The sequence below is a fragment of the Homo sapiens genome, chromosome 14 (genome assembly GCF_000001405.40).
Source record: "Homo sapiens chromosome 14, GRCh38.p14 Primary Assembly".
NCBI classification, from domain to species: Eukaryota; Metazoa; Chordata; class Mammalia; order Primates; family Hominidae; genus Homo; species Homo sapiens.
Window position 1 is genome coordinate 62,780,169 of NC_000014.9, and position 20,827 is coordinate 62,800,995.

Below are 20,827 nucleotides of genomic sequence, written 5' to 3' on the forward strand. Positions count from 1 at the left end.
AAACACCTCATTTTAACAAATAATTTCATTATCTTCTGCCACCTTAACTTTTCCTATTTTGACCAGAAGGAGCAAAGGTGACTTCTTAGTTTCATCCTTGCCTCTGGTCCTTCTGGTAAAGATAACAAAATGCAATACAGAAGGATCTGCTGTAACAGCCTTTATAAATCTAGGGCTGATCCAACATATATTAAATACACATTATTCAGTAACTATGTATTGTGCCCCAAGCCAATTAAAACTTGCCACAACTTAGTTCCCCAAGAATGCCCTTCCCTCTCTACCTAGTCAACCTTATACAGGTTCTCGGAGTCCAGCCCAAGAGCTCCCCATCCACAATTACAAAGCTGAAGGACCCAGGTTGAGTAAAACATGGAGACTCAAATGTATTATCCCATGAACAGTTCTATAAAAAGTGCTATACTATCATCAAATGTAGACGTCTTTTAAAAATTCTAGAAATCACACAAAAATCACCTATTCACTTCAGAGCACTACCCACTGGTGGCCTGAACTCAACCATTTATCATTTGAAATCAAGTACTTAGTTGCCCAAATAAAAAGAACGAGAAAGAGTCTAAGGTTAAAGGTCCCAAAAGGCCATTCTGCCGAGGCAGTTCCATAAAAGCCCCTGGTTTCTGAAGTGTAGTCAACTGCATTCTTTGTTCAACTTCCACGTGAAAGGAAAAGTTTTAAAGTGAAAAAGACAGGGGGAATATATCCAGGAGGGAAACATCTTCCTAGAGGCACTCTGTTAATGATTTATTCTTTCTGCACTCAAACCACAGAGGTGAGCAACTATCTGCTGTCATCATGCAGATTAAAATCAGAACTAACAGGAAAAAAAAAAGAAGAAGACCTTTATCGGGGAATCTGCCCCGATATTCACATAGGTTCTTTTCTATTTTCCCCAAGCATCAGCTGGCTTGAGAAATAAAGGGACAGAGTACAAAAGAAATTTTAAAGCTGGGCGTCCAGGGGAGACATCACATGTTGGTAGGTTCCATGATGCCCACAAGCCACAAAAACCAGCAAGTTTTTATTAGGGATTTTCAAAAGGGGAGGGAGTGTGCGAATAGGTGTGGGTCACAGACATCAAGTACTTTACAAGGTAATAGAATATCACAAGGCAAGTGGAGGCAGGGCGAGATCACAGGACCACAGGACTGAGGTGAAATTAAAATTGCTAATGAAGTTTCAGACACCATTGTCATTGATAACATCTTATCAGGAGACAGCGTTTTGAGATCAACCGGTCTGACCAAAATTTACTAGGCGGGAATTTCCTCTTCCTAATAAGCCTGGGAGCGCTATGGGAGACTGGAGTCTATTTCACCTCTGCAGTCTCGACCGTAAGAGACGGCCACGCCCGGCGGGGGGTGGGGGGCAGTTTAGAGACCTACCGCCAGGTGCGCATTCTCTTTCTCAGGGATGTTCCATGCTGAGAAAAAGAATTCAGTGATATTTCTCCCATTTGCTTTTGAAAGAAGAGAACTATGGCTCTGTTCCGCCGGGCTCACCGGAGGTCAGAGTTTAAGGTTATCTTTCTTATTCCCTGAACAATTGCTGTTATCCTGTTCTTTTTTCAAGGTGCCCACATTTCATATTGCTCAAACACATATGCTGTACAATTTGTGCAGTTAATGCAATTATTTCAGGGTCCTAAGGCAATATACATCCTCCTCAGCTGACAGGATTAAGAGATTAAAGACAGGCATAGGAAATCACAAGGGTATTGAATGGGGAAGTGATAAGTGTCCATGAAATCTTTACAACTTATGCTTAGAGATTGCAGTAAAGACAGGAATAAGAAATTATAAAAGTATTAATTTGGGGAACTAATAAATGTCCATGAAATCTTCACAATCCACGTTCTTCTGCCATGGCTTCAGCCGGTCCCTCCGTTTGGGGTCCCTGACTTCCCGCAACAGACCTTGTCTCACCCTTCAGGCCAGGCAGACAACCAGAGAGAAAAGAAAATGTGTAACCACAGAAATGAGAGAGAGACAAAGACAGTGACAAGACAGAAATAGAGAGGTTGAGTGAGTGAGATTACACATTCTTTGCTCACTTAGGTAGTTGGGAAGCTCTGAGAGAAACATAGGGCTTGATTTCAAGCTTAAGAGGCACTTCAGGGTACAAAGAGAAAACATGCACATGACTGAAGAGGTGATTAAAACCACCACATGATCATGTGATCAGCATGAAACAACAATCATGAATAGTTAATTAATCTTAAGCAATTCATTTGTTTCTGGACCCTCCAAAAATTCCTTTTAGTTCATGACACTGATGAGCAAATTAACAACCTAATAACCATTTATTTGGCCAAGGAAGGGAGATCAGAGACTTGGTAGCCAAAGAAAGCCTCTAGGGTTATACAGCATCATAATAACCAAAGGGAGGCCAAGGCAGGCGGATCACGAGGTCAGAAGATCGAGACCATCCTGGCTAACACGGTGAAACACCGTCTCTACTAAAAATACAAAAAAATTAGCCGGGCGTGGTGGTGGGTGCCTGTAGTCCTAGCTACTCGGGAGGCTGAGGCAGGAGAATGGCGTGAACCCGGGAGGCAGAGCTTGCAGTGAGCTGAGATTGTGCCACTGCACTCCAGCCTGGATGACAGAGTGAGACTCCATCTCAAAAAATAAAATAAAATAAAATGAAATAAAAAAAATAACCAAAGGAACACTTTAGCTATAGAAACTCTACCTCCTTTTATACAGATGAATTTCAGAAATCTGTACACGGTATTCTCTTCAAACTAGTAATCCCAATTATAGGCATTTATTCTAATTGCCTAAGTGCCAAATTTATTTATAAAAATGCTCACTGAAGTGAAATTTATAATTGCCAAAAATTAGAAATAAATGTCAATAAATAATGAAATATTATGCAGCCACAAGGTATCATAAATTTTACAAAGTGACATGGAGGTTATATAAGGTTATATAAAATAGTAAAAGCAGGATATCAAACTATACATACAGCATAATCTCATTTTATGTACCCCATCTCCCCACCCCCAAACATACACACATACATGCACACAAAGCACAGAAGTAAATGCATCAAAATGGTAGGTCCTCTCTGCGTTATGGAACAATGTATGGTTTTTATTTTGTCTTATAATTTGTGTAATACTTTGTAAACAGAAGAGATCAACAACTGTTATATTACCACAGTTCTTGATGGTACCAAAAAAAGCCAAGCTTTTAAAGGGCTGCTTTGATCTACCTCTTATTTCTTTTCCTTTTTATCCTCTTTCCATACTGGATTTTTCCTTCAAGAGATAGAAAAAAGGTTACATTTCTCTATGATTCATTTCTGTATCATTTTCTCAAATTGTCAATTATAATCCTTTACCCATTTATGAGTGCTCATTACTTTTCAGCTATTTTGTTTTCATATATGGTACACTTAAGAATAATCAATGCTTTTGACTCAGTATTTTCACTTCTGAGAATCAAAAGATTAGAACTACTGCATGTAATATTCACTATAGTGTTATTAATGATAACCCTAGATTTTTTTAAAACCCTATATGTCCAATAGCTATGGCAATTGTAAAAATATGTGTAAAATATTAATGTCCAAAGAATTAAAACAGCTTTTGAGGTAACATGCAAAAAATTCCTAACTTATAATGTTAATTAAGAAATAAATGAAGAATAATATGAATATGGTTACAACTATAACAAAATATATAAAAATGAAACTGAGGTGCCAAGACTAAAAGAATTGTCAATTAAGAAATCTACTTTATCTTCTTTTCTTAAGAAAATTCTCTTGATAGAACCAAAGTATAATGTATTTTATAATTATATGTTATTATATATAATTTATTAGTCTATTCTCACACTGCTAATAAAGAATGAAGACATACCCAAGACTGGGTAATTTATAAAGAAAAGAGGTTTAATTGACTCACAGTTCTACATGGCTGGGGAGGCCTCACAATCATGGCCGAAGGCACATGAGGAGCAAAGTCACGTCTTACACGGTGGCAGGCAAGAGCGCTTGTACAGGGGAACTCCCATTTATAAAGCCATCAGATCTCATGAGATTTATACACTACCATGAGAACAGTATGGGGGAAACTGCTCCCATTATTCAATTATTTCCACCTGGCTCTGCCCTTGACATGTAGGGATTATTACAATTCAAGGTGAGATTTGGGTGGAGAGACAGCCAAACCATATCATTATACTATGTTATATAAATTTATCAATTGATATAAATTGAGCTAAAAGTCTAAAGGAATACAAGACTAAAAGAAAATGCATTTAAATAATAATAGCAACTGGATTTAAGTGGTGTGTTTATGGGTCTTTTTCTTCCTACTGTATGTTTTCCAAATTTTTCTACATTAAAAAACAGCAAACCATTTTCACCGATGTCTTTCATTATACTTCTTAATAAAACTGAATTCATAAAATACATACATAGACTTGTAGATTGTGAATAAATATTCATTGATTATTAAGTGCATTGTCAACAGGTAAAAGGTACTCAAAATATAAAGGTAATTTCTTCTTACCAATATGGGCCATTTTTAATTACAGAAGCATTCAAATATCTGTTACATATTTTATTTAACTTAACTGATGAAATTAAAAATTCTTACACTATTTCTACCTAAAATTTTGAAATTTAAATTATTACATTAAATTACTATGTTTTTCGTATCATGGGGAAATAAAAAGTCTATGATATAGTAAGAATAGCAATAAACTAGAGTATGAACTCATGATAAACTTTATTTCCTGCTCCTCTCCCAAAAAAGTTTAGAAAAGCATAGCAAAATTAACAAAAGTAGATAATTCTGCCCCCAACATCAGAATTCACTTTGTGTAATAAGCAATACTAATTGTTTCATTATATAGAATTTTCATTGGGATATGCAATATGTAAACTGGATATTAAGCTAATCAACCATTTCAAAGTGTGTTTACTTTGTTGGCTTTCTATGTCACCTATGAGGCAATCAATTCACAACAAACTTTTACCGTGTTTCTGGGACTATGGTCATCTTTTAAAAAAATTAATTAATTTACCAGCCAAAGTAAAGTTGGTTAATGTCTTTCTTCAAGCATATTATGCACATTTACAGTAAGTCATCCCAGAAATCATAGGCTGTGAAAATGTGGTGTTAGGCATAGAATATCTAACGTGCATGCATCCAATATGCATGGAATAGCTAATGAAGAAACACTTTTCTTTACTGTACAAAAGATTTTGCACACTTTCAGGGCTGGGAACTCCGGTTCATCTACTTGACTACAGAACATTTGATGCTGGTTTTTAGGTCAGCTCCCGCTGGGTACAAGTAGTCTCTGCTATAAACATTTTAGAGCTAGAGATAACTAACCTCCCCTCAAAGTACTAAAATTAGTAGAAAGCTTGTGCTAAACATGAAAGTTGTTGTTTGGTCTATTTATATTTTCTCAGTTCTTTTCATCAAGTCTTATGAAGTATTTCACTGTTAAACTACAGGAAAAAGGATTGTAAAACAGAAATAATTGTTAAAGACTCATATAGTAGGAAACTGGAACATTTAAGACAAAACAGAGACAGAGTTACAACATAATTAAAGGAGTAATACAGACTATGGTATGCTTAGGGATTATGGTCCCCAAAGGGGCTGATTTTATAGCCAGATTTATTTTTTCAAATGTGAGACACATTATTTGGTGAGTTAATGACATGAATAAAATAAATGCATAAAAATTTCCACAGTTAGGCAGGGCACGGTGGCTCATGCCTGTAATCCCAGCACTTTGAGAGGCCAAGGTGGGCAGATCACAAGGTCAGGAGTTTGAGACCAGCCTGGCCAACATGGTGAAATCCCATTTCTACTAAAAATACAAAAATTAGCTGGGCACAGTGGCGGGCGCCTGTAATCCCTGCTACTCAGGAGGCTGAGGAAGGAGAATGGCTTGAACCCAGGAGGCGGAGGTTGCAGTGAGCCGAGATCACGCCACTGCTCTCCAGCCTGGGTGACAGAGCAAGACTCAGTCTCAGAAAAATAAATAAATAAATAAATAAAAATTACCACAGGTATTCATCAGTGAGAACTGCTAACTAATATCCAACAGGTTCCAAACAAAATATCTTTTGAATTTTACTTAGGTAGTTTTGTGTGAGTTTAGGGGTGTGATAGTGGCTCTATTTGAAGATTTTTCTATATAATGAACTTAATCCATGCCTTCACTTCTTTTTTTAGTAAGTTTTATTGTATATACTTGAGATTTAACATGTAACATTATGGAACACATAAAGATAGTAAAATCACTATAGTGAATCACTATAGTGAAGCAAATTAACATGTCTATCATCTCACATATTTTTGATTGTGTGTGAGATGAAAGCAGCTAAAATCTACCTATTTAACAAAAATTTGTATTACAATACAGGCATAATCCTCATTTTATTGTGCTTTACCTTACTGTGCTTGGCAGGTATTATGTTTTTTACAAATTGAAGGTTTGTGGCAACTCAGTGTCGAACAAGTCTATCGGTGTCATATTTCTAACAGCATGTGATCATTTGATGTCTCATTTTGGTAATTCTCACAGTATTTCTAATTTTTTCATTATTATTATATCTGTTATGGAAATCTGTGATCAGTAATCTTTCATGTTATTGTTGTAATTGTTTGGGGCCACTACAAACCACACCCATATAAGATGGCAAACTTAATCAATAAATATTGTGTGTGTTTTAACTACTCCACTGATCTATCATTCCCCAACTCCCTCTTCCTCTCCTGGGGCCTTCCTGTTTTCTGAGACACAATAATATCGAAATTAGGCCAACCAGCAACCTTAAAATGGCTTCCAAGTGTTCAAGCAAAAGGAAGAGTCACAAATCTCTCATTTCAAGTCAAAAGGTAGACATAATTAAGCTTAGTGAGGAAGCCATGTCAAAAGCTAAAATAGGCTAAAAGCTAGGCCTCTTGCACCAAACAGCTAGCCAAGTTGTGAATGCACAGTAAAAGTTCTTAAAGGAAGTTACAAGTGCTACTCCAGCGAACACATGAATGACAAGAAAATGAAACAGACCTACTGCTGATAAGGAGAAAGTTTTAGTGGCCTGGATAGAAGATCAAACCAGACACAACATTCCCTTACGCCAAAGCCAAATCCAGAGCAAGGCCCTAACTATCTCCAATTCTGTAAAGGCTAAGAGAGGGGAGGAAGCTGCAGAAGAAAAGTTTGAAGCTAGCAGAGATTGGTTTATAAAGTTTAGGAAAAGGAACCATCTCCACAACATAAAAATGCAAGCTGAAACACAAGTACTGATGTAGAAGCTGCAGCAAGTTATCCAGAAGATCTGCTAAAATAACTGATGAAGGTGACTAGACTAGACAACAGATTTTTAATGCAGATGAAACAGCCTTCTATTAAAAGAAGATGCCATCTGGGACTTTCATAGATAGAGAGAAGTCAAAAACTGGCTTCAAAACTTTAAAGGATAGGCTAACTTGTTAGGGCCTAATGCAGCTGGTGACTTTAAGTTGAAGCCAGTACTCCTTGATTATTCCCAAAGTCCTAGAATCTTAAGAATTATGCTAAATCTACTCTGCCTTTGCTCTATAAATGGAAGGACAAAGCCTGGATGACAGTGCATCTGTTTATAGCATGCTTTACTGAATATTTTAAGCCTACTGTTGAGACCAACTGCTCAGAAAAAAAGATTCATTTGAAAATATGACTGCTCATTGACAATGCATCTGGTCACCCAAGAGCTCTAATGAAGATCTACAAGACGAATGCTGTTTTCATGCCGGCTAACACAACATCCATTCTGCAGCCCATGGATCAAGGAGCAATTTTGACTTTCAAGTCTTATTATTCAAGAAATATACTGGTAAGGCTATAGCTGTCATAGATACTGATCCATCTAAAGGATCTAGAGAAAGTAAATGGGAAATCTTCTGGAGAACATTCAGAATTCTAGATGCCATTCAGAACACTTGTGATTCATGTGAGATGTGAGAAAGCCAAAATATTACTATTAACAGGAGTTTGGAAGAAGTTGATTCCAACCCTCATGGATGACTTTGAGAGCTACAGACTTCAGTGGAGGAAGTAACTGCAGATGTAGAAACGGCAAGACAATTAGAATTAGAAGTGGAGCCTGAAAATGTGGATGACTTGCTGCAATCGCACTATAAAACCAACAGGTGAGAAGTTGCTACTTACGGATGAGCAAAGAAAGTGGTTTCTTGAGACAGAATCTACTCTTAGTGAAGATGCCATGAACATTGTTGAAATGACAACAAAGTACTTATACTAGTTCATAAACTCAGTTGATCAGACAGAGTGGCAAGGGTTTCAGAGGACTGACTCCAATTTTGAAAGAAGTTCTACTGTGACTAAAATGCTATCAGTCAGCATCACATGCTATAGGAGAAATATTTTATGAAAGGAAGAGTCAATTGATGCAGTAAATTTCATTGTCATCTTAGTTTAAGAAATTGCCCCCTCTATTCCACCCTTCAGCAACCACCAATCTGATCAGTCTGTATCTGTCAACATCAAGGCAGGACTGTCCACCAGCAAAAAGATTACAACTTGCTGAAGGCTCAGATGATCATTAGCATATTTTAACAATAAAATATTTTTAAATTAAGGTATATGCATTGTTTTTCTAGACATAATGTTATTGCACACATAATAGACTAAGTATAATGTGAACATAACTTTTATGTTCCCTGGGAAACCAAAAAATTGGTGACTCTATTACAACATTGGCTCTATTATGGTGGTCTGGTACCAAACCAACAAAATCTCTGAGATATGTCAGTACAATATTATTAGCTATAGTCTTCATCTATACATTAGATCTCTAAAAATATTCATCCTACATGTGTGCTATTTTCTATCCTTTGACCTACATGTACTCATTTCCTCCCACCCTACTCCACATCCCCACCACTGTTTTATTCTCTATCTTTGTATATTTGACTTTTTAAAAAGATTCTACATATAAGTGAGATCATGCAATATATTATTTATGTGTCTGGTTTATTTCACTTAGCATAATGTCTTTAAGGTTCATCCATGCTGTGGCAAATGGCAGGCTGTCTTTCTTTTTTAAGGTTGAATAATATTCCATTGCATATACATACTACATTTTCTTTATCAATTCATCCATCAATGGATACTTAGGTCGTTTCCATATCTTGCCTATTGTGAACAATACTGCAATAAACATGGGGGTGCAGATATCTCTAGGAGGTGATAAATTCATCACCTTTGGGTATTTACCCAGTAGAGGGATATTGAGTCACACAGTAGTACTATTGTTAATTTTTTAATAAACCTCCATATTGTTTTCCATAATGGCTGCTCCAAACTACACTCCCACCAACGGTATTCCAGGATTCTCTTTTCTCCACACCCTCATCAACATTTATTATATCTAGTCTTTTTGATAATAGTCTTCCTAACAGGTGTGAGGTGATATCTCATAATGACTTTAATTTGCACTCCCCTGATGATTAGTGATTTGAGCACCTTTTCATATACCTGATGGTTATTTTTATGTTTTATTTGGAGAAATTTCTGCTCAGGTTTCTTGCTCACTTTTTAATAGGGTTATTTATTTTCTGCTATTGAGTTGTAAGAGTTCTTACATATATGTGGTTTGCAAATATATTTCCCAGTCTACAGGCTGCCTTTTCATTTTGTTGATTGTTTCCCTTGCTGTACAGAAACGTTTTAGTGTGATGTAACCCTATTTATTTATTTTTGCTTTTATGGCTCAAGCTTTTGGTGTTATATCCAAAAAGTCATTGCCAAGGCCAATATCAAGGTGTTTTTTCCTGTATGTTCTCATCAACGTGTTTTATGGTTTCAGGTCTCACAGGCATTTTATCCATTTTGAGTTGACTTTTTTTTTTGTATGGGTGGAAAATAAGGTCCTAATTTTATCCTTTTGCATGTGGAAATCCAGTTTTCTCAGCACCATATATTGAAAAACTATTAATTTCCCATTGTGGCCTTTGGCACCCTTGTTGAAAATTAGTTGACCGTATATGTTTGGATTTATTTCTGGGCTCTCTGTTCTGTTCTACTGCTCCGTGTTTCTTTTTTATGCCAGTACCATACCGTTTTAATTACTAGACATTTGTAATATAATTTTAAATCAGGAAGTGTGATGCCTCCAACTTTGTTCTTTCTCAGTATTGCTTTTTGTCTATTTGGGTTTTTTCTACAGCTTCATAAAAATTTGAGGATTGTGTTCTCTATTTCTTTAAAAATGTCACTGGAATTTTGATAGCAATTGCTTTGACTATGTATATTGCTTTGGCTAGTATGTACATTTTAACAATATTAATTCTTATAACCCATGAACATAGGACATATTTCCATTTATTTGTGTCTTCTTCAATTCTTTCCTTCTTTTTTTTTTTTTCACTGTTCCTTGTGGAGCAGGGCTAACTTATTGGTGGTATACCCAGAGTCAGCCAATTTCTTTCATCAGTGCTTTATAGTTTTCTGTGTACAGATATTTTACCTTTTTGGTTAAATTCATTACTATGTATTTTTTGTAACAATTGTAAGTGAGATTTTTTTCTTGATTTCTTTTTCAGCTAAGTCATTATTTGCATATAGAAATGCTGCTAATTTTTGTATGTTGATTTTGCAACCTGCAACTTTATTAAATTTATTTATTAGTTCTAATGAGGTTTTTGTAGAATCTTTGGCTTTTTCTACATATAGAATCATGTCATCTACAAACAGAGATAATTTTACTTTTTTCTTTCTGTTTTAAATGCCTTTCATTTATTTTTCTTGTCTGATTGCCTTTGCTAGTAATTCCAGCGCTATATTGAATAGAAGTGGTAACAGCAGGCATCCCTGCCTTGTGCTGGATCTTAGTGGAGAAGTCTTTAGTTGTTCCCCATTGATCATGGTGTCATCATTACTAGACCATCATATAGGAAATGCTTAATGGAGTTCTTCAACTGGAAATGAAAGGATAATAACTACCAAAATGAAAATATATGAAAGTATAAAACTCACTGGTGGAAGTAAATACACAGTCAAAAGCAGAATATTCCATTACTATAGTAGCAGTATGTAAATCTTCCAAATCTCTAGTATGAAGGTTAAAAGTCAAAATGGTCAAAAATAACCATAGCTACAGTAAGTAACTTACAGTAAGTAAGTCACAAGAAGGAAAAAAAAGGACCTACAAAATAACCAAGCAACAATGACAAAAGGGCAAGAATAAGTCTTTACCTATCAATACCCTTAAATGTAAATGGATTAAATTATCCAATCAAAAGACAGGGTGGCTGAATGGATATTAAAAAAGAAACAAGATCTAACTATATTCTACCTATAAGAACTATTTTAGATTTAAGGACACACATGGGCTGAAAGTTAAAGAATGGAAGATATTCCATGCAAACAGTAGCCAAAAGAGAGCAGGAGTGGCTATATTTACATCAGATAAAATAGATTTCAAGTCAAAAACTGTCACAAGAGACAAATAAGCTCATTATTTAATGTTAAAGGCATCAATTTATCAAGTATATAACAACTGTAAATATATATGTACCCAACATTGGAGCATCAAAATATATAAAGCAAGTGTTAATGGACTTGATGGAAAAAATGCATAGAGATGCAATAACAGCACAGGACTTCAATAACCCACTTTCAACAATGGATAGATCAACCAGACAAGAAATTAATAAAGAAATACTCGACTTGAACTGTATTCATTTTTATTTATTAGTTGGCCCTTCACTATAAGTTATCATTGCAATTGGCTCATAAACTTCATTATAATTACATAGGCCCAAAAATATTCATTTATAGATGAATAAGACTATATGATTTTTAATTACATTATTTTAAATGGACTTCAACTATGTACAAACTGCAAGGGTCATAAAGTAATATTTTAAAAAGGAAGAACAGAAAGAACAAAATGAGTATTAAAATTAAGAAATTACATAGTTTTATTAGAATAAAATCTTTTAAAACATTTAGAAATGATGTCTGCCAGTCTTCAATGATTGATGTCCAAAGTCATTATGTTAAAAATTATCATAAATACTAGCTTGAAGACATTTTCAGAGAAGCAAATAATAATTCTTATCTATTAAAAAAATAAGTGATTTAGCTCGTAGATTTTTTTTACACACATAAAGAATGAGCCAAATAGCTCTTATTAAGCAGAAGTAAAGAGAAGGTATCCTGACATCAGTAAGAAGCTACCTTTAAGGAGGTAGAAGAAATGATAATAAACATGCTGATTATCCTGAGTTTGGCACTATTAGTGTTAAGAACAAATTGATTGCATATAAAAATCCAAATATATGCCTAAATCAAGAAAGAGAATGGCATATTATAAAAAAGAAATCCATGCAAAAGACTAATTTGGAAATCAATTACATCTTGAAACTCTCCTGTTTTCTTTTTCTAAGAAAACATTTAGAGTTGAAGCCTACGATATCGTTCATATTATAACTAAGTCTTAGAACTTTTGCAACTGTGAAGTGTGAGAAATAATGGCTGTCTTTTCTACCTCATTCAATTAACGAATCTGACATCCTGACTCAACCCTAACTCTAACCTATGATGCAATAATCTGACTTCTGAGTATGTATCCAAAAGTATTGAAATCAAAATCTCAAAGAGATATCTGTACTCTCATGCCCATTGTAGCTTTATTCAAAATAGGTAGACATGGAAACAACCCCAGTATTTATCAGCAGATGAATTGATAAAGAAAACGTGGCGTATGCATACAATGGAATATTATTCAGCCTTTGAAAAGAAGAAAATTCTGTCATTTGCAATAATATAGGTGAACCTGGAGAGCACTATGCCAAACAAAATAAGTCAGTTGCAGAAGTACAAATATTTCATGATTCCACTCATATGAAGTGTCTATAATAGTTACATTCATAGAAGCAGAGAATATAATAGTGGCTGTCAGGGCTTGGAAGATGGGGGAAAGGATAGTTTTTGTTCAATGGGTATACAGTTTCAGTTATGCTAGATGAATTAAGTTTTAGATATCTGCTGTACACATAGAGCCTATACTTCACAACACAGTACTGTGAACTTCAAAATTTGTTAAGAGGGTAGATCTCATATTAAGTGTTCTTACCATGAAAAAAGGACAGAAGAAAGCTATGGGAGTTTTAGGATGTGTCTATTACCTTGATTATGGTAATGGTATTAAGAGTGTTTGCATATACACAGACTCATCACATTGTGTGCATTCAATATGTGTAGATATTTGTGTATCAATTATACCTCAATAAAGGTGTGTTGCTGTGATAGAAATGTGTATGAGTATGGGCAGTGATCACAGAAGCGTATAGAGAAACAAAAAGCAATCACAAGGATAAAGGAGTGAGATTCAAAGCACAGGTTTTCTTTTTTTCTTTCTTGTATTATTGTTACTTGTCTTCTGTTTTTCCTTTACCTTATGCTATATTATTTATTTATAAAATAAAATGCTACCACTTAAAAAATTTTTTTAAGTTTTTTGAACTTTTGTTCAAAAGTTGAAACATTTGCTTTATGCTGTGAGGGGATAGGCAGATTCAGGAAATAGAAATCTGGCTCTCAAGAAGTCTTTAATTTTGTGAGTAAGAGAGACAGACCAAAAAAATTACAAAATAGAAGAAAATGAAGTAAGTGTATACAGATCAGGATAAGCAGAGCACAGAAGAAAAATATTGTTTTTAATTTAAAGAAATTAGGAAAGACCTCACAAAGAAAGAAAGCTTCATTTCCACTTTAACATTTACCAACTAAGTAGACTCTGAACTCTTCCATAACCCAGATGAAAGAGGAGAGTGGAATGTAACATCCCTATCTTGTGTTCTAAGAACTCATGACATTCACACTCTGGGCTCAGTTCTCCTCAGTCCTAAACACCTTCCTCATGGTAAACCAGTCACTTGGAGAAGGACAGTATTTATAGATACTTAGTAGCTGATTTAGCCAATTCATACTTAACTAAGTACCTTAGGTAATATTTGGTGAAGGGTTTTTGTAACGTATACTGTTATGGTGCCTAATTCTTGGCAGTGGTGTTAGAGAAATCTTTTTTAAAAAATAAAAATAAATAAATTGGTAAAGGTAATATAGGTACTCTTATTTTCCATTAAGATTAAACCAAACAGTTGTACTATAATTTCAAAATTCTATTTCAAAATTCCTGTTAACCAGAGCATCATTTTTTTTTTTTGTAATTTGATGGGTAAAAGCATGCACATAATGTCAGACAGGTCTGAATTAAAATCCTGTACCCACCAATTACTTACTAGCTGTGACCCAGGGAGAACCACTTGATATTACAGAGTTTCAGTTTCTTCCTCTGTAAGATGACTACAATAATTACTTTCTTCACAGGGTTATTAAACGACTTGGTATAATAATGTATACAAAATAATGAGCACTCCATTAATAATTATTGGTATTTTAATCAGACTTCCAAAGACGCCCAAGTGTATTTTTCAAAAATACACTTTAAAAGTTTGTTAAGGAATATTAAAATCAAAAGGTATCTGTTGGCTTTACATTTTACTTAAGTGGGTGGGGGCTCATTTGCTAATGGAAAATATGATTTTCCTTTCTTTAAATCCCTTTTAATTCTTAAATGTTTATGTATTAATGAAATTAATTCAGATTTATTGAATCATTCATTCTAGTTGATGACAAAAGCAATGTCACTTTAGGAATTAAAGCTAAATTTCCTTCAATGAATGTAATTTAAAGTTTTCTTATTATGGTCAACAAGCAGGTATAAGTTAGTTCCTTTCCTGGCACTGGGGATCCGTGATGGAGAACAAGAAAGGAGCAACTTATCAGAGAGCCGTGTGTGGTCTGAGATACTTAACACAGTTTCCCCCTCAATTATCTTTGTTCAAATTGCCTAGTTAACAGTAGGAAAATGTTTCTTCTGCCTATAACAGATCTAAACTAAAGTTATGGGCTTTTGAGAAATGCATTTTACTATAAACCTCTATCAACAAAGGAGGAACAGAGGGCATAGAGGAAATTGGCAAGTGAGTCAACAGAACACAACATATTTTTCTGGGTACCCAGAACTGAAACAATTATGAAAACAGTTTGTTGGCAAAATATAGCAGAGTTGGCCCTCCATACCTGTGGGTTTCTCATCAATGGATTCAATGAACCACAAATAGAAAATATTTGGGGTAAAAAATGGATGGCTGCGTCTGTACTAAATGTGTACAGATATTTTTTCTTGTCATTATTCCCTAACCAATAAAACAACTATGTACATAGCATTCACATTGTGTTGGGAATTATAAGTAACCTAGAGATGATTTTAAATACACAGGATGATGTGCATAGGTTGTATGCAAATACTACACCATTTTACGTAAGGGACTTCAGCATCCTCAGAGTAGGGTCTCTGTGAGGGTGTTCTGAAACCAATCCCTTGTGGATACCAAGTAACAGCTGTACTAGCTAATCTGTCTCACTCACAATAGCCTTTACTGAGAACCTATTGAAGAGATCCTATCATAGATGACAGAGAGACAAAAAGGAACAAGAAATTTCAAGTGGTCACTGTGCAGTGGGAGGATAAACAGGGGAAGGATAAAAATAGGAGGTACTAAGAACCCTGTATAGGCATCCAAGTGGAAGCACAGAACAGAGGCATCTAATCCAGACTAGGGCAATAAGGGAAAAATAAAATAGAACAAGGAAGCAAGAGACAAATCACTAAAAAGGAGAGAAAAAGTATTCTAAATAAAGGAGCAGTATATGCAACAACCTGCCAGGAAGAGGGAACTTTGTTAAACTCAGGAAACTTCCTGCAATTCAGTACGGTGAGAATAGGGTAGGGATAGACAATGACACAAATCAGGCCAGAAAGAAGAGCAAAAGCCAGACCCAAATGGCCCCATAAGCCATGCTCGTAGTTACATTTTATCCTCAAGATACTGGAAATACTAATGAGGAGATTGACACAATTATACCTTAGGAAGATTATTGTGGTGGCAGCGAAACATTGAAATGGAGGTTGAAGCTGATGATAGATTTATTAACTCCTGACCTCAAGTGATTTGCCCACCTCGGCCTCCCAAAGTGCTAGGATTACAGGCATGAGCCACCATGCTGGGCCTACAGTGGATTTTAAATAACTGATTCTACTTAAAATAGAATCTTAATTCAAGTGCTAAAGACTCTCTTTCGTATTAAGTTGATTTAATTATGTTATTCCTGTCCTCATTTATGCTCTTTTTCCCAACCCCATAACAATTTCAATCCCTCCTTCCAAACCATACATAAACAAGCATAGCTCTCTTGAGAATTTGAAGTTACAATTGAAAGACTTAGATAGAGATTGTCTTAGTTTAATAACTCTAACCCTATGATTCTATGATAGATTTATGAGCAGGTAAGTCTAATGACTAAGATGGTAGTCATGGCCCATGTGAACCTGGAAAATCTGAGACAGGTCTTGGTTAATTTAGAAAGTTTATTTTGCCAAGGTTGAGGATGCACCCGTGACACATCCTCAGGAAGTCCTGACGACATGTGCCCAACATGATCGGGACACAGCTTGGTTTTATACATTTTAAGGTGATATGAGACATCAATCAATATATGTAAGAAGTACATTGGTTCCAGTCTGGAAAGGTGGGACAACTTGAAGCAAAGGCAGGAAGACTGGAAGCAGAGAGGGAGCTTTCAGGTCACAGATAGGTGATACACAAATGGTTGCATTCTTTTGAGTTTCTGATTAGCCTTTCCAAAGGAGGCAAATCAGATATGCATCTATCTTAGTAACTTTGAATAGAATGGGAGGCAGATTTGCCCTAAGCAGTTTCCAACATGAATTTTCCTTAGTGATCTTGGGGGCCCAAGATGTTTTCCTTTCACACCCAGGACCAAAATTTTAAGAACACTGACTGTGGTAAGGGATATTAAGAATAGGATTAAAAGATATCAAGGGGATAGGATAAATTAGTTTTGAAGGATGATGGAGGGAGGGTTTGAAGTTTAATCTAAACTACCAAGATTGTTAAAACTCCTATTTTATTCCAAAACCTGCAGGCTGAGGAACTCTAAAAGTGTATATTTTGAACCATAGATAAACAATGTTATAATTGCTGCTTAAAATGTTTAAAACAAGACAAGTATGCATGTTTTTAAAAGCAAACAACTGATTTGCCCTTTATAAAAATATCTGAATTAAGTAATTTCATCATCATGATCTATAGAACAAATCTACATGTTTCACAGTTCCGCATCTACAACACAGAAGTATGGGTGCAAAAGAAAATGATTTTCTGGAACTTGGGAAAAACCCTTTTAAGGATTTAAACTGTGAAGCATTTGACTTCTAACAGCAAGTGCACAGGAAGAAATATAACTACAGCATAAAAATCACATTCTCACAGATTCTCAAAATAACAAAATATTATTCATTCACATCTCATTTTTTCTTTTTGTAATAAAAATAAGGAGATTTTTAATTTTGAGCAGTATAAGTTATAAATTTTCTTTGATAATGCACACGTTTATAATTTTTTTTTTTTTTGAGACAAAGTCTCACTCTGTCGCCCAGGCTGGAGTACAGTGGCGTGATCTCAGCTCACTGCAACCTCAGCCTCCTGGGTTCAAGCAATTCTCATGCCTCAGCCTCCCAAATACCTCCCAAATACAGATATATGCCAGCAAACCCAGGTAATTTTTGTATTTTTAGTAGAGATGGGGTTTCACCATGTTGGCCAGACTGGTCTCCAAGTCCTGACCTCAAGTGATTAGCCCACCTCAGCCTCCCAAAGTGCTAGGATTACAGGCATGAGCCACCATGCCCAGCCTACAATGGATTTTAAATAACTGATTCTACTTAAAATAGAATCTTAATTCGAGTGCTAAAGACTCTCTTTCGTATTAAGTTGATTTAATTATGTTATTCCTGGCCTCGTTTATGCTTTTTCCCAATTCCATAACAATTTTCAACCCCTCCATCCAAACCATACATAAACAAACATAGCTCTCTTGAGAATTTGAAGTTACAACTAAAAGACTTAGATAGAGATTGTCTTAGTTTAATAATTCTAACCCTATGATTCTAATAATCAATGAACACAAAGACAAAATGAAAATACAACAAAACAAATGTCTTAGGAGCACGGTCTATTGTTAGCAGGGAAATGTCATTTTTATAACCTCAGAAAGGCACAATATACTTGTCAAGACATTGAGAAGTAACCTGGCTATTTCAGCCATACCAACAAATCTGTTCACATTAAGTAATTATAGGATAGGAACTAAAAAGGAATAAGACATTAAAGAATATAAAATATTATGTATGCATCACGAACTTAATTTGGAATTCTTTGTGTTTTATAAAAAGTGGGAAGGTCAGAAAAAGGTGGAGGTGTAGGAACTGAAAGAACTTTGAAAGAACTTCAAATTGAAAAAAGACATGAACTGCAATTATATTTCATATGCCCTATTTAGAAAAACATCTTGAAGCCATCCTCCAGTGTTAAAGGAGGTTATTTGTTGACTAAATTTTTTATCTTTCCATTAATTAGTTATGCTTCAGAACTTATTCATTAAACTCCTTAGCACTTTTGACACACTAAAGAATTACGTGCCTATCGAGAGACTGTTTAGTGGCAAGAATCCAAAAACATGAAACTGCACCTGTTTTTGGATTCAGAGATTCTAATTAATTTTAAAATAACCTCCCTTCTCTACCTTTTAACTGGCAAATGTATCAGTGTAAGAGATAGCAAGGCCTTCTTGTTTCTCCTATCAGACTAATTTAGGCAAGTTCCCATTTTTGTGAGGTGTCCTCAGATGTGAGGGATGTAGGGATTTTGTTCCTCTCTGACCCTTGCAAGATTAAAAGCAAAGAGCATTAAACATGATGGCTTTTGGCATATTTAAATGCCAAAGGCCACAGTTGACAACTAAGACATAACAATCATAAATAATCTGTACACCAAATAACACAGCAGTAAATGTTATAGAGCATAAACCACAAGAGATGCAAGGAGACATAGATAAAACGCATGAATGATAAGATATGTTAACCCACCACTCTCAGTACCAGGGCAAATCAAAAGGATTTAAAAAATACATAAAGTTGGGCGCGGTGGCTGACACCTGTAATCCCAGCACTTTGGGAGGCCGAGGCGGGTGGATCACCTGAGGTCAGGAGTTCGAGACCAGCCTCAACATGGAGAAACCCTGTCTCTGCTAAAAATACAAAATTAGCCGGGCGTGGTGGTGCATGCCTGTAATCCCAGCTACTTGGGAGTCTGAGGCAGGAGAATTGCTTGAACCTGGGAGGCGGAGGTTGCGGTGAGCTGAGATCACACCATTGCACTCCAGCCTGGGCAACAAGAGTGAAACTCCGTCTCAAAAAAAAAAAAAAAAAAAGCCAAAAAGAAAAAAATACATAAAGTTATAAAGACTGAGTCAACTTAATAAAGCAGAACTTAAAAATATACATATATATCTTTTCTATGTATATACCTTTATATATATATATATATATATATATATATATATATACACACACACACACACACATATCAGGGTGTGAAGGGATTATATATTTAATATTTTATATATTTAATATATTATATATTTAATATTTAATATATAATTAAATATTAAATAATATATTATATATATTTAATATTTAATATATATATAATCCCTTCACACCCTGATAATTTTTGTAACTTTTCATTAAGCATGCAATTATTTCAAAATTAAACTATCAAAAATGAGAAGAAGAAGAGGAGGAGAAAGAAAAGGAGGAGGAGGAGGAGAAGAAGAGGAAGAAGAGGAGAATCAGGAAAACAGGTGCTGGTAAGTTACTATTTTCCTCCTCCTTTCTTAAAACATCATTAAAGCATTTTGTATGTTAAACAAACAAACAAAAAATCCTGATCTGATGGGCTTTTGAATGAACTAGTCTTTTTCAGAGCCTATAGAAAAAAAAGAAAGGTCACCAGAGAGTTGTCCGTATAATTTGACTCATTAAGCACAAGATGTGAAAAGTCTCTGAATCCCAAGACTTTTGAGGAGAGAAAACAAAAAGCACAAACTCAAAATAATAAAATGTGACAGATATATGATGAGATGGGTGCAATACCCAGGGGTCCTGTGTTCATTTTTACTGTGTCATTGGGCAAAACAAGTTACCATTTTATTTTAAAATGAAAGGAAAATGCATTTTGTCTGTCTCACTGAGCAAATTGTCTCATTTGAGCAGACCCAGGCTAGAGGCACTGTACCCAGGACTTTCTCCAACCTTCTTTTAGAAAAGGAGTTACCCAAATGAAGTTGTAATGAAGAAAACGGGACAAAGCAAATAATAATGAGTCTACAGCTGAGGTAATTTATCATGAGGGTTATCATGATATTACATTTTCATGTAATACATTTGATATTTTTTTCCTACCCACGTTTGATGTGGACATTCAGGAAAATAAAATACATTTGTTTTGGCCTTGTATTTTATCCTCTTCTTTAAGCAAACAAGAATAGTTTGCTTAGTGTGTATGTATCCTCTTCTTTAAGCAAACAAGAATGGTTTACAGAGTGTAAATATGCTTCATTTTACCACAAAGGATTGCTCTGGTGAAATGTACAACTTTTTATGAAGGGTTATATTTATCTCCTTTATACTCCAGTAAACAAAGCAGAACAAGCACTAACGAGCATTAAACATACCCAGAATGTTGACTCTAAAATGTCGTATTTTCTTCTTGAAAAAAAAAAACAGTTCCTAGAAGAAATCTAACTGTAATTCTAATATTATTTATATGCAG

At 35.1% G+C, this 20,827-nt stretch overlaps 1 protein-coding gene across 3 annotated transcripts in view, besides 1 other annotated feature; it reads right to left on the bottom strand.

The window, feature by feature from the left end:
• The window catches only part of KCNH5 (potassium voltage-gated channel subfamily H member 5), a 345,995-nt gene that overhangs the window by 80,705 nt on the left and 244,463 nt on the right, over nucleotides 1–20,827 (bottom strand). The gene's annotated exons all lie outside the window — the stretch shown is intronic.
• Nucleotides 1,122–1,693: an enhancer, noted in NCBI's record as "OCT4-NANOG hESC enhancer chr14:63248008-63248579 (GRCh37/hg19 assembly coordinates)". NCBI's record gives its function as "activates a minimal SCP1, AML or CMV promoter by ChIP-STARR-seq in naive H9 embryonic stem cells {active_cell/tissue: H9 hESC(naive)}" and the evidence as "EXISTENCE:reporter gene assay evidence [ECO:0000049][PMID:30033119]".